At 35.7% G+C, this 14,595-nt stretch overlaps 2 protein-coding genes across 9 annotated transcripts in view; one reads left to right on the top strand and one right to left on the bottom strand.

The window, feature by feature from the left end:
- INSL6 (insulin like 6) overlaps nucleotides 1-12,710 on the top strand; it is a 193,664-nt gene extending 180,954 nt beyond the window's left edge. The window contains exon 3 of the mRNA XM_011517702.4: nucleotides 12,253-12,710. Within this exon, the coding sequence (XP_011516004.1) occupies nucleotides 12,253-12,257 (5 nt within the window). The 3' untranslated portion in view covers nucleotides 12,258-12,710. The remainder of the gene's footprint in view (nucleotides 1-12,252) is intronic.
- Nucleotides 1-14,595, bottom strand: part of JAK2 (Janus kinase 2) — a 145,559-nt gene that overhangs the window by 125,263 nt on the left and 5,701 nt on the right. The window lies entirely within an intron of this gene.

The raw sequence follows: 14,595 nt of genomic DNA, 5'->3' as shown, positions 1-14,595 counted from the left end.
ATTAAAATGGAACTACCATATGATTTAGCAATCCCACTTCTGGGTATTGGAACTAAAAATAATATGTCAAAGCAATATCTACACTCCCATGCTCATTGCAGCATTATTCTTAATAGCCAAGATAAAGAATCAACCTAAGTGTCCATCAACAGATGAACTGATAAAGAAAATACAGCATATGTACACAATAGAATATAATTCAGCCTTAAAAAAAGAAGAAAATCTTGTCATTTACAACAACATGGATGAACCTGGAAGACATTATATTAAGTGAAATAAAGCTAGGCACAGAAAGACAAAACTGTATGATCTCACTGATCCATAGAATCTAAAAAAGTAGAAATCATAGAAGCAGAGAGTAAGTAGAACAGCAGTTACCAGAGGCTGAGGGTCCCATTAGGAGGAATGGGAGACGTTGGTCAAAGGATACGAAATTTCTGTTAGATAGGAGGAGTAAACTGAAGAGATCTATTGTACATCATGGTGATTACCAATAACAATATATCGTATACTTGAAAATTGCTAAGAGTAGATTTTAAGTGTTCTCACCACAAAAGATAAGTATGTGAGGTGATACATATGTTAATTAGACTGATTTTGCCATTCTGCAATGTATACATATAACAAAATGTCATGTTGTACACCATATATACAATTTTTATGTAATTTAGAAAAAAATTTTTTAAATAGTCAATATATTTTACATTATTAGCACAATGAGAAAACACACCATATGATCATTTCAATAGATGCAGAAACTACTCCTAATAAAATTTAACCAATGTTCATGATTTTAAAATCTCAAACTAGGAATAAAAGCAAACTTCCTCACTCTGATAAAGGGTAACAGTAAAAAAACAATATACCTAATGGTAAAATATTGATCTTGTTCTTCTAGAGTTCAAAAACGTAACAATCATGTCTAAAATCATGATTTCTATTCAATACCATAGTGGACATTGTGGCTAGTGCAATAAGGCAAGAAAACTAAATAAAAGTTATGATGATTAGAAAGGATAAGTAAAATTGTCAGTATTCATAGAGGACATGTCTGTATATGTAGGAAATTTAAAAGAATCTACCAATCACTGAGTGAATTTAGCAAAGTCACAAGATGCAAGACCAATATATAAAAATCAACTGCATTTCTGTATGTCAGAAGCAAACAATTTTTTAAATGAACATTTAAAAATAGTATCATTTACAATAGTAACAAAAAATCAAATACCTAGGAATACATCTATGGAAATATCTGTAAAAACTGTGCAATAAAAACTGTAAAACATTTCTACAAAAAATAAATGCTAGCTAAATAAGAGAGGGATAGACCATGCTGATATAAGAATACAGAAAAACTCAGTATGGTTCAGATGTCGGTTCTTTTCCAAATTAATCTATAGATTCAACCCACTTCCAATTAAAATCCTAGCAGTTTTTGTGGAAATTTACAAGTTGATCCTAAAGTCTGTGAAAAACAAAGGATTTACAATAGCCAAAACAATCTTGAAGAGCAAACTAAAGATTTATATTATCAGACATCAAGATTTATCATAAAGATAGAACAAGCAGATTGGTATTAGCACAAAAATGAACAAATAGACAAATGGAACAGAATAGAGTCCAAAAAAACATACTCACATACAGTTACCTAATTTGGAACAGATGTGCCATTGCATTTCAGTGAAGAAATATTGGTCATTTCAAAACATGTGGCTTAGTCAACTGGTTATTCATATGGGGCAAAAAATAACCTTAACTTCTATCTACTTCATACGGTACACAAATATTAATTTAAGATGGAAAACAGACCAATGTGACCTCTTGTAAGCAGAACATAAAAACACTAATCATAGAAGATTTATAAATTACTCTTCTTAAATATATATGCACACAATAATAGTTTCCAATTACATGAAGCAAAAATGTAAAGAGGGAAATAAAACAACTATTACACTAAAAATTTCAATACTCATTTCTCAGGAATTAACAAAAAAAATTTTTTTAATCAGTAAAAATAATGAAGACCTAAACATCAACCAACTAAATATAACTGACATTTACAGAACACAATGCCCAACAACTGCAGAACATACATCCTTTTCAAGTGCTCACAGAACATTCACTAAGTTATACCATAGGTTGGTCCATAAACCAATTCTCAAACATTTGAAAAGACTGAATTAATATGAATTATATTCTTGGCCATAGCAAAATTGAATTAGAAATAAATATCAAAAAACTATCTAGAAAATCTCCCAGTATTGCAAAATTAACATAGTTCTAAATAATCCCAGGTTCGAAGAAGAAATTAAAAGGGAAATCAGAAATTATTTTCACCTGAATGATAATAAACAATAAAATTTGGGGGAATACAGCTAAAATAGTGGTTAGAGAGAATGTATAGCTATAAATGCTTATGATGGAAAAGAAGAAAGATATGAAATTAATTATGTAAGCTTCCTAGGTAGCTAGAAAACAAAACCAGAGAGTGAAGAAAGAATAAAGAACAAAAATTAATAATATATAAAACAATAAAGAAAATCAATCAAACCAAAACTTTGTTTTTAGAAAAGATTTAAAAAGTTGATAAACCTCTAAGATGATCAATTTACAAACAGAAAAGAACACATATTACCAATATGTGCCCCATATGATGTAAAAAAAGCAGGATATCGCTACAGATTTTATAAACAGTAAGTGGATATAAAAAGATAGGAGCAACTTCATGCCAATGACTTTAACAAGTTAGATTTGATGAACAAATTCCTTGAAAGACAAAAATTACCAAAACTGACATAGGAAGAAACAGAAACCTTGAATAGTATCATATCTCTTCAATAAATTGAATTCTTCATTAAAAACATACCCACAAAGAAAACTCTTGGCCAAAGTGACTTCCCTGGGAAAGTCTGTCAACTATTTAAGGAAAAAATAGTACCAATTCTGTATAAACTCTTACAGAAAACAGAGGGGCAGAAATAATTTCCAAATCATTTTATGTGGCCAGAATTATCCTAATACCAAAACCTGGCAAAAACACATCATAAAAAAAAAAAAAAATTACAGGCAAATGTTTCTCATGAACATAACAAAATAATAGAACATAGAACCAGGAGCATATAAAAAGGTCAGAACACCATCACCAAGTGGGTTTTATTCCAGTCATACTGGTTGCTTTGACATTTGAAAATGAATCAATGCAATTTACCTCATTAACAGAATAATGGAGCAAAACCATAAGATCGTCCCAATTGTTGCAGGAAAAGCATTTGACAAAAGTCAACACCAATTCATGATAAAATTTCTGGAAATAAATTAGAAAAAGAAGGGAATTTCCTCAATAAAATAAAGATCATCTACAAACAACCTTCTATTACTTAATGATTACATATTGAATGCTTTCTCCATAAAATCAGGAACAAGGAAAGGATGCTCACCACCACCATTTCTATTCAACACTGGAGGTTCTACCTAATGCAATCTGGTAAGAAAATGAAATAAAAGACATAGAGATTGAAATGAAAGAAATAAAACTTTTTATTTGCAGACATGATTGTATTTATCAAAAATGCTGAGGATTCTACCAAAAAATTACTAGAACTTATAAATGAATTTACCAGTATCACAGGATACATCACAAAATAAACAAAACCAATTGTATTTCTATATACTCTACTAAGCATGTCTTTTTATTCTGTATTTTTGATGCTTTGCTATCTTGGGAATTTGCTGACCCTGGAAGGGGCAGTCCTTCCAGGGCTAGCCAATTCCTAGAAACAGGAAAGAACCTGACAGTGAGGGCAACTTTTCATATGCAAACCAACCAATACGTTATCAAGTTCTTACCTGATATTTATACATATCCCAACCACCTTCTTTATCCAGTTCTTACTTAATACATATACAAATATATCAAACAAGAAGATGGTATCTCCAATACACAAAGAGCTCCACAAACTAATTATTTTTAAGACACCGGAGAAATTACAGACGTATTAAAACCTTCCACTAAAAAAATGTTTTGAGCATATAGGGAAAATTTATAAAAATTGGCCATGATGAAACATAAGCTCAAAAAGTTTAAAAAGAAAACTCCTAAAAGTTGGCATAACAAAGCCTAAAAATCATTTCAAACTTGGTATAACTGTTACTAGAAAACCATCTACACAATGACTATATATATGCCTTTATTTCATTTTTATGTTACGCTTCTCTTTATATTTGAATCATTCCTTTAAACTACATAAACATTTTCAAGTGTTTGTAAATACCCTTTTAAAAATTACTGCTGTTAGCTGTTCTTCATGATTTTCTTACTGGTCTCCTTACACATTCGAAATTGGACATTTCCGACTATTTCCTTGGTATGTTTTATATCTAACTATGTCAGTTATTTCTATACCAAAAACTCTGTCACATTATGTACCTCCTTTCTAAACCCCACATCTAAGTGAAAAATGATAGAGGAAATAAAAGATGGGTAAATTTGACTGCATATTATAAACACTATAATCAAAACTTTAAAAAAAAACAGAAAAAATATATACTACAAAGGTTTAATATATTTATACAAGTAACTCTTACAATTTAATATGAAAATGAACATAAATAGGCATTTCACAAAAGAAATGAAAACATGGTCAACATAATTAAGAATCAGAGAAAAGTACATAAAAATGAGATATTGTTTCTTCCTTAGCTTCCTTAGCTGACTGGTAAACAAGAAGAATGCCAATACCCAGTGTTGGCAAAGATATGAGGAAAACAAGAATATCTAATAATTGTCCTTTGAAAAAGGACAGGAGTAGTAGCATGCATATCTAATAATTCTATGAAACAAGTCTAAATATTGGGAAAAAATTAATGACATTAAAGGGGTCTGATAAATTGTGGCAACTTAGCCAACAGAATACTATAAAGATATTAAAAATGATGTACACCAGGCACGGGGGCTCACGCCTGTAATCCTAGCACTTTGGGAGGCCAAGATGGGTGGATTAGCCAAGACGCTTCCTGCCCTTGAACATCAGACTCCAAGTTCTTCAGTTTTGAGACTTGAACTGGCTCTCCTTGCTCCTCAAGCTTGCAGACAGCCTATTGTGGGACCTTGTGATCATTTAAGTTAATATTTAATAAACTCATATATATATCCTATTAGTTCTGTCCTTCTAGAGAACCCTAATATGTTAAGCAAGTTCTGTCAATCACAATAAGCATTTGTAATCTTTTTTGCCCCTTTGACTAATGTCATTTTTAAATGACTGTTTTTATTCACTTGAATTTTTTATATGAAGAGACATTTGGTCAAAGCTTGTATACTACTACTGCCTATTAAAACAGTATATAAAATACATGCAAATAAGATATTTTAATACAATGTCATGATTCTTTCACTTAAGAAACAAGAAATCTAAGATGAATACTAATTCAACTTTTAGGCTTTAGAAAAGATTAAGAACAGCCATACATTTAAGGGCTACCGAAGTCAAATGTAATCATTTTACCTTGGGCCAGCGTCAGAAGTACACACATGACAGGCAAAAGCTTAAAAGACCTCCTGAGCCCGGGTGCGGTGGCTCACGCCTGTAATCCCAGCACTTTGGGAGGCCGAGGCAGGTGGATCACAAGGTCAGGAGATCGAGACCATCCTGGCTAACACGGTGAAACCCCGTCTCTACTGAAAATACAAAAAAAAAAATAGCCGGGCGTGGTGGCGGGCACCTGTAGTCCCAGCTACTCCGGAGGCTGAGGCAGGAGAATGGCGTGAACCCGGGAGGCGGAGCTTGCAGATCGCACCACTGCACTACAGCCTGGGTGACAGAGGGAGACTCCATCTCAAAAAAAGAACTCCTGAGAAAACTGATGCCATGAAGAGAAGAAAATATAAATTATTCTGCAAAATGTATCCCTTTTCTGGTTTTGGTTTTTTGTTGTTTTTTTTTTTGTTTTTTGTGGTTTTTGGTCTTAGGAGATTTTGAGCTACTTCTTAGAATCATGCTTAATGATGACTACACAGGAAAAGCCACATTTGTAGGAAAAGCCAGATTTATAATTCACAACACACATACAGAAAAAGTGTGAACAAATATGGGACAAGTGCTGTAAATAGGCCTCTAAAAGTTGGAGTTTTTGGCCGGGCATGGTGGCTCATGCCTGTAATCCCAGCACTTTGGGAGGCCAAGGCGGGCGGATCACGAGGTCAGGAGTTCGAGACCAGCCTGACCAACATGGTGAAACCCCGTCTCTACTAAAAATACAAAAATTAGCTGGGCGTGGTGGTGCGCGCCTATAATCCCAGTTACTCGGGAGGCTGAGGTAGGAGAATTGCTTGAATCTGGGAGGCAGAAGTTGCAGTGAGCTGAGATAATGCCACTGCACTCCAGCCTGGGTGACAGAGCAAGACTCCATCTCAACAACAACAACAAAAAAACCCGTTGGAGTTTTTTTTCCCTTAAGATCTCATTTCAATACCATCATATTCCAAGCCTGTATTACCAAGACATTTTTAAAAGATTTTAAGAAGTGACGAGTTTGTCTATAAAAAATAAAATTGCACAGGAAATTTAATTAATTCTGCTCGTGAAATATTTAAAACTACCCTCTGCTATTGATATTCAAAAAAATCTAGAAGTTGTTTAAATCAGTATGAATTTAAGCTCATAATGATTTTTAAAATACTGCCATGCTAGAAGAACACTGAATATTTCAGATATTCCTCTGAAATAATTATTTAAAGATTATCATAATGCATTCAGATTAAAAAAAAATTAAGCACCTATGGATAAACAAGGAAACAATAAGAAATACATAAACATGGAAATGAAACAATTCTGCAGACACTGAAGCATTATGTTTTGGAAGGATTTCCAGTTACTCATCAATCAGATAGACTTATACTATCATGCACTATTTTCTTCTCTGAGTCATTCCCCAAGTCCTAAAATCCACTCCTAATGAATCTTTCCATATCAAACCTTTATAAAACCAATATATTCAATTGTTGCCTATAAAATGAGGCTGAGGGGTACAGCAAGGTTGATACAGTTTGGATGTTGTCCCCTTTAAATTTCATGTGTTGCACTGTAATCCCCAATGTTGGAGGTGAGGCCTGGTGGGAGGTGACTTGATCATGGGGGTGGATTTCTCATGAATGGTTTAGCAACATCCCCCTTGGTGCTGTCCTGAAGATACTGAGTTCTTGCAAGATTTGGCTGTTTAAAAGTGTGTGCACCTTCCCCACATTCTCTTTTGCTCCAGCTCTTGAAATGTGATATTCCTGCTCCCTCTTAGCTTTTGACCATGAGTAAAAGCTCCCGGAGGACTCCCCAGAAGCTGAGCAAATGTCAGCCCCATGCTTGTAAGCCTGCAGAACCATGAGCCAATTAAATCTCTTTTCTTTATAAATTACTCAGCCTCAGGTATTTCTTTATAGCAATGCAAGAACAGACTAACAGGCCATGCGCGGTGGCTCCAGAACCATAATCCCAGCACTTTGGGAGGCTGATGCAGAAAGATTGCTGGAGCCCAGGAGTTCAAGACCAGACTGAGTGACACGGTGAAACCCCATCTCTACAAAAAAAAATATAAAAATTAGCCAGGCCTAGTGGCACTCGCCTGCAGTGCCAGCTACTCAGGAGGCTGAGGTAGGAGGATCACTGGACCCCAGGGAAGGCAAGGCTGCAGTGAGCCGTGATCGAGCCACTGTCCTCCAGCCTGAGTGACAGTGAAACCATCTCAAAAAAAAAAAAAAAAAAAAAGAACAAACTAACAGAAGAGTAAAAGGAGAGAACTCCCACCATGAAGACTGTTCCTAATACAGTGTTACTTTTACTGACCACCATAACCAGAGGCACTGTGAATCAAACTTACTACAATGGAGGTATATTTCATTTTACTTCTAATAATTTTAAATTTTCATAATAGTAAATATAATCCAATTATCGCAGAATACTTACCTTTAAAAGTCTGTGGCAGGGAGGGGTAGGGGTGAAGGCAAGGATAATTTTTTTTTAACAAGACAGGGTCCTAAATGGTGGATTCCAGCAATATCATTACAACTGAAGATCTGATGCAATGAAAACTATATTTCACATCACCCCCGCCCCTCCTCAAAAAAACCAAAAAATCTACAATACCTCATGTATTTAAAAAAATAAATTATACATATAAATAAGAGAATCAGAATAGTATACTTCTATTTATGTATTTATTTTTATTTATTTATTTATTTATTTTTTGAGACAGAGTTTCACTCTTGTTGCCCAGGCTAGAGTGCAATGGCACGATCTCAGCTCACTGCAACCTCTGCCTCCCAGGTACAAGCGATTCTCCTGTCTCAGCCTCCCAAGTAGCTCAGATTACAGGCATGCACCACCACACCTGGCTATTTTTTTGTATTTAGTAGAGACAGGGTTTCACCATGTTAGTCAGGCTGGTGGTGAACTCCTGACCTCAGGTGATCCATATACTTCTACTTAAAAAGCTTAAAAATATTATTCTAAATTTGACCCTCTAAAATAATAAGTTGTAAAATCCAGACTTCCCTGTAATTCTGTCTTCTCTAACCTGGCCAATTAACCACAGATCTAATAATTCAATGTTAAATGAACTTATCCTTAATGGTTCCAATCTCAAATGACTTGACCTATCCTATGGATTGCCATTATGAAATGACAAGCTTCCCTCAGTAGCAAATTTGATACAAATAAAACTATACTGTGAATTTTTAACAATTTGAGGCCAAAAATAGACTAATAAGAGCAGACACATAAGTTAGCAAATGCCCATTCAGTAAGTACAAAAAATAACTTAATACTTCACAATAAAGTTTAAAAAAAAGGTAAAACTAAAATGGAAAACCAAGGTTAAATTCAAGTTTAAAATCAGAAATAGAGAATTAAATAGAATAACTAAAATGAATAATTGGCAAAAAGATCTGCTTCTATTCCTAAATGCTTGATTTATTCATTTTATTTTCAAGTACTTGAATGCCTCCCATATGCTAATAAATATTATACAGGACTTGGAAACAAATAAATAGAAATGTTCACTACCCAAGAACTCACAATATGGTTTCAGAGGAGCCATTTTTAGAATGAAACAAAGTCCAGAAATAGATCCAACTACATACACAATTTAAAACACCAGCATTTCACAGCAGCAGAGAAAAGAAGGATTATCTGACAAATAGTATTGAAACTGGACAACCATCTAGGGGAAAAAAGTTGCGTCCCATCTTATATCTTGCATCAGTATAAATTCCAGATGGAACAAGAAAACAAGGGAGAATCTCAAAATATAATTTCAGGGTTAGAAGGAACCTACCTAGATGCACAACAACAAAATCACACTATCTACAGAATCAAAAAGATAAAGAGACAACCTAGGGAAAACAACTCATTTCGCAAACTCAAAGCTATCTTCCTTAGTATAAGAGCTCCCACAAAGCAAAGTAAAAGGACCACAAATCCAATAGAAAGTGGGCCAAGATATGAGTGAAGAGTTCCCTAAAAAAGGAGAATAAAAAGCAAATTAAAATTATAATGAGATTCTATTTTTCACGTCTCAAGTTGGCAACAATCAAGTCATCTGAAAACACAATGTTAGTAAAGGTGTAGAAAAGCATAACTTGGTATTTCTATGTCAATTTGGCAATATTTGTTGAACTTAGTAACATATACCACTTTTGAATCAGCAACTCCTCTTCTACTTAATCTTTAGTTATAGTCACACACACACACACGCCCTGACAAATGTACAAAGATATTTACTACTTTTTGAATTCTAAGACATTTAAATGTGTTCAAAAAATAGATAATTTTTTTATGAAAGAATAAAAAGAGACAAATACAGACAACTCTCAGAGAGTTTTGTTCCAAAGGGGAGTGAAAAATGGGGCCATAGCTTGAAGAGATGTGGAGTCAAGTAATGATTTAAATTGGGAATTGGCAGAGCACAGTTCACACATACCAAATTTAGCCAGCTGCCTGTTATGTAAATAAAGCTTTATGAGAACACAGCCATGAGCCACGTCTGTTCATTTACGTATTGTCTATAACTGCTTTTGCACCACAAAGGCGGAATTGAGTAGGTGCAAGAGAAACAATCTTGCCCACAAAGTCTAAAATATTTTATTTATGATCCTTAATAGAAAAATCTTGCCAATCCCTGGTTTAAATCAGTAATTCTCACAATCTAGGCCCCAGATCAACATTATCAGATCACCTGGGAACTCACAGATGCAAATCCTCAAGTCCCACTCCAGAGCTAATGAAACAAACTCTGGGGGTGGGGCCCAGCGGCAATTTGTGTTTCAATAAGTCCTTTAGGTAATTCTGATAAGAACCAGTGGGTTAGGAAACAGTTCTAGTACAGTTAATCCTCACTGTCTTCAATAGGTTCTTGGAAACTGTGACTTTAAGTGAAACAATGTGTAACAAAATCCATTTTTCCATAGGCTAATTGAGATAAGGAAGTTCCTATGGCATATTTATGGCCACAAAAACATCATCAAACTTCTAAGTAAAGATTCCAAACACTCTGATTATTAAACACTGAAATAAATGTGAGCTATACACACATTTAAGAAAGACTAATAAAAACAAGTAGGATAATTATTAACCCAATTCAGTTCAGTCACGAGTGGCTAGAGCCTATCCTAGCAACTCAAGGCACAAGGTGGGAACCAACCCTAGACAGGACATCACCCACTGCAAGGCACACTCATCCATACATGATCACTCAGTCTGAGACCATTTAGACACACCGATCCACTAACATATGCATCTTTGGAATGTGGGAGGAAATTGGAGCACCCGGAAAAACCCACACAGACGTGGGGAGAATGTCCAAACTCCACACAAACAGTGGCCCCAGCCAGGAATCCATTTTTTTCTTATCAACGTTATGAAGAAATGACAGTTATTCAAGGACCTGCTATATAGCCAGGAACAGATAAGGACCCTTTGTGTTCACACATGTAAAGGGTCTTGAGGAAACTTCATGGGAGCCTAAGAGCCCTCAAGGAGACTGTCAGTGAGGACTTCAAGCAAAGTGAGAGAAATGATAGTGAAAGCTGAATAAGAGGACACCCTTGTTACATACTAGGGCAAAGTTTAGCAAAACTGTCACCTACATTAACATGGAAAATAAAATACATACCTGACCTAATGAATTAAGGAGATTCTCAGCAGGAAGTTAAAGCAATTTGGCTTCTTCTAGCTGCCCTTATAATTGAGAGAACAGAGAGATGAACTAAAGAATAAGCTATTCATTTTTTGAGTAGAATTTCAAGGAGATGTAATGGACTCAGAACAATCTTTTCAGCCAGCAAAGTGTCAAATAAAAAGGGCCTCAGAGCAAAGATCCAATCTAGAGTGTGATTATAAGATCCTTTCTTAAGATCTAAATCAGTACCTCATAGATCCTTTCAGACGAAATATTATCTAAGGATCTTAAGGGTGTTGTCCCACAGCAGACTCACACAGAGCTTAGGGGAGGAAAGAGTTCCTCTCAAAAGAGATTTGTGGGTATGGCAGTACAGATTATAAACTTACACACAGGAAGTCCACAAAGTTTTTAAAGGAGTTGTATTAGCTTGGAATGAAAGGGACAGTTGCTATATAAAAGGGGGCCTTTGGACTCTGGAGCACTACAGGCAGGAAGCAAGCTCAGAAAGCTACTCTTACAAATACAAAGCAATTTATATGGGTTGGGTGCAGGGGTGGGGGAGATAAATAATTCAGAAGGTAAACCCAAAAACAGAAGAAGCCTATGTCCTATTAAGAATGACTTCCAGGAAGCAGGACTGAGACCTAATCAAGGAACTGGCAACATGTGCCCAGTGAGGTTGCAGAATTGCTACAGACTGTGCCTACCTTGCATGCTTCTTGAGGAGGAATGTCTACTGCAGATAACCTGTGCCTTTTCCATTTTGTAAAGTATGCAGGGGACATATAAACTGTCTCTTCATGGGTCCTCAGTTCAAGAAGAACCATATCCAATTAACCATACCCAAGAAAACTATTCTGTACCTGGACCTGATTTATATGATGAGATACTGGACTCTGAGTTACTGTCATGATGGGATGTGAATTAGGGACCTTTGAGGAGAAGCTCAGTGTATTTTGCGTGTATTTCAGATACAGGAGGGATGTGAAGTTTGGCAAAATGGCAAACTATGGCAATAGTATTAATAATTGTCCAAAGATGGCCATAACACTATTTCCCATCTCACATGTTTTTCTTCTGCAGTGTGAACTTGCCACTCCCCCATCAAATCTGGACAGGCTTCTGACCCTTACAACCAGTAGGACATGGCAGAAGTTATACTGTGCAGCTACCAAGGCTAAATCATAAAAGATTTATGCTGAGACACACTCACTTTTAATTCTCTACTCACCACTATGAAAGGTGACCACCCTGAAGCCACCATATTGTGAGGAAATCCAGGCCACATGTACATGCTCCAGTTAACAGCCCAGCTAACATCCCAGTCAAGAGCCAGCATCAACTACCCATCATGTGAGTGAAGACACCTCCAGATGATTCCAGTCCTTTGCCTTCAAGTCACCCCTGGCTGGCAATTCTTCCCAACTCATGTCCTAGTAGCCATTGTGGAGCAAAAACAAAGTCATCCCTGGTGTGCCCTGTCTCAATTACTGACCCATGGTATCTGTGAGCCTAATAAAGTAGTTGTTTTAAATCACTAAGTTTTGGGTAGTTTCTGTTACACAGCAATAGCAATCAGAGTAATGCTGATGGAAATAATCCAGTAGAGGGAAGAATTGAGAAGGCAAGAAAAAGAGGAGAGAAATATAATGGTAAAGCCCTTGAAGGCAAAGGGGATGAGCTCTTCTACACAACTGAATGGAGAGGCTTTAGAGGGGATGCTAAACAATTCATTCATTATAAAGGTGAAAACGGCAAAGTACAGAGGACAGGTGGTTGCCTGGTGTACAGGAATTAGAGACTAGAAAAGGAGATGTGGGGTGGGGGGGTGGGAAAGAGTTTGCTGGTTTTTGTCATAAACATTGGTAAACCATTTCCTTTTTAAACTTTATACACATTTTACCATGTGATCCCACCTTTTTAAATTTTCTAGAAAAGATTTAGTCCATTCCCTCAATAGACAAGACTCACTGATTACGTGAGTTGCCTGAAATCATATACCATGCTGAGAGCAGGGTCAGTCCCTTATCCCCTGATTTCCAAAACAGTGCACTTACTCACATCACATGGCCCTTTATATTATAAAAATATTACCTAATAGCATTTTATTTCATAATCATAATTTATTAAACTAAAACCACTTAGTAAGAACTAATGAGTACTCTGTTTCCAATAACATACTAAAAAGATGAACAGAAGAATGTTCTTGGGAAGATCAAAATAAACATGCAAGCAAAGTAAACAGCCCATGGACCATTCTAACCTAGTTAACCCTTTGTAACTATACAGAAAAGCTTCAAAATAAATAATGCTTCTCTTTGTTCTTTCCAGTACCCCTAATTTCATCAATCATTCAACCCTCAGATTTATAAGTTATCGACCAAGAATTTCTCCTTCCTTTTAGAAACAAATATTTTATCACTTTATTCAAATTTTACCAGCACAAAAGCACCCAGAGATGGCTTGTCTAACCTTCTATCATTCAGAAAAAAACACAGAACCAATGCACACAGGAAGAATAGTACCTGGACAGTGTGATATATAAGACGATACAGACGAATGACAATCTGTTGAAAAATATCTCCTAGGTTTTATTATGCCTAAAATTCTCATCCTTAGTCCTAGTGATGGAGAGCTTTGGAAAAGTCTCCACTGATCACCCAACTGTCAAATCCAAAGGTCTTTTGTTAAACCGGAGAGAACAAAATATTAACAGTGGTTATTTCCACGTAGGGAAAGTATAAGCAATTTTCTTCTGTTTTTATAGATTTCTTATTAGGAAAAACACGAATACATCTTTTTAAGACCTTTTTTTGGATCTGATTCTTCTCATTTCTTGCCAATGATCAACATGTTGATCATTCCGCCTCCTAACCTATCCACTAATTTGCCTCTCATACTGTTTTTTTCTTTGTCTCCTTTACCCATTCCTCTCCTTTCACCCACCCGCTAATTATGGGCAATCCCACTCTTTTCTCTTAAGTACCACAGCACCAGCCTTAACTTCGCTAACAAATTCTAGTCATATGTCCCACTGTATGCTATCAATTTTCACTTGCCCATCCCACGGCCACCGCAAACTCAACATATCCACAATATACGCTCAACTGTCTACATCCCCTCTACCAGCTACTAACACTGCCATAACTATTTTTGTTAGTAACTGCCATTAATCAAACGGCAGTTTCTTTGTCATTAACTAGCTGAGTAACTTTGGACACATTTTTAAATCTCTCTGGTCTGAGTCCTAATATACAAAACATATAGACTTAGATGTTCTAAGATGTCTTGGAGAGTCAACACTCTTTGATTTCCTCCGTCACTGAAAAGCAAACCTTCAAGGTAAGGTAATCTTTAATCACTCTTCTCCCCTCCATTCTCCCTTCTTATCCAATCCATAATAATGTCTTGTGACATCTCTGCAAT

The sequence above is a fragment of the Homo sapiens genome, chromosome 9 (genome assembly GCF_000001405.40).
Source record: "Homo sapiens chromosome 9, GRCh38.p14 Primary Assembly".
In the NCBI taxonomy this organism is placed as follows: domain Eukaryota; kingdom Metazoa; phylum Chordata; class Mammalia; order Primates; family Hominidae; genus Homo; species Homo sapiens.
This window is presented reverse-complemented; position numbering and strand designations above follow the sequence as displayed.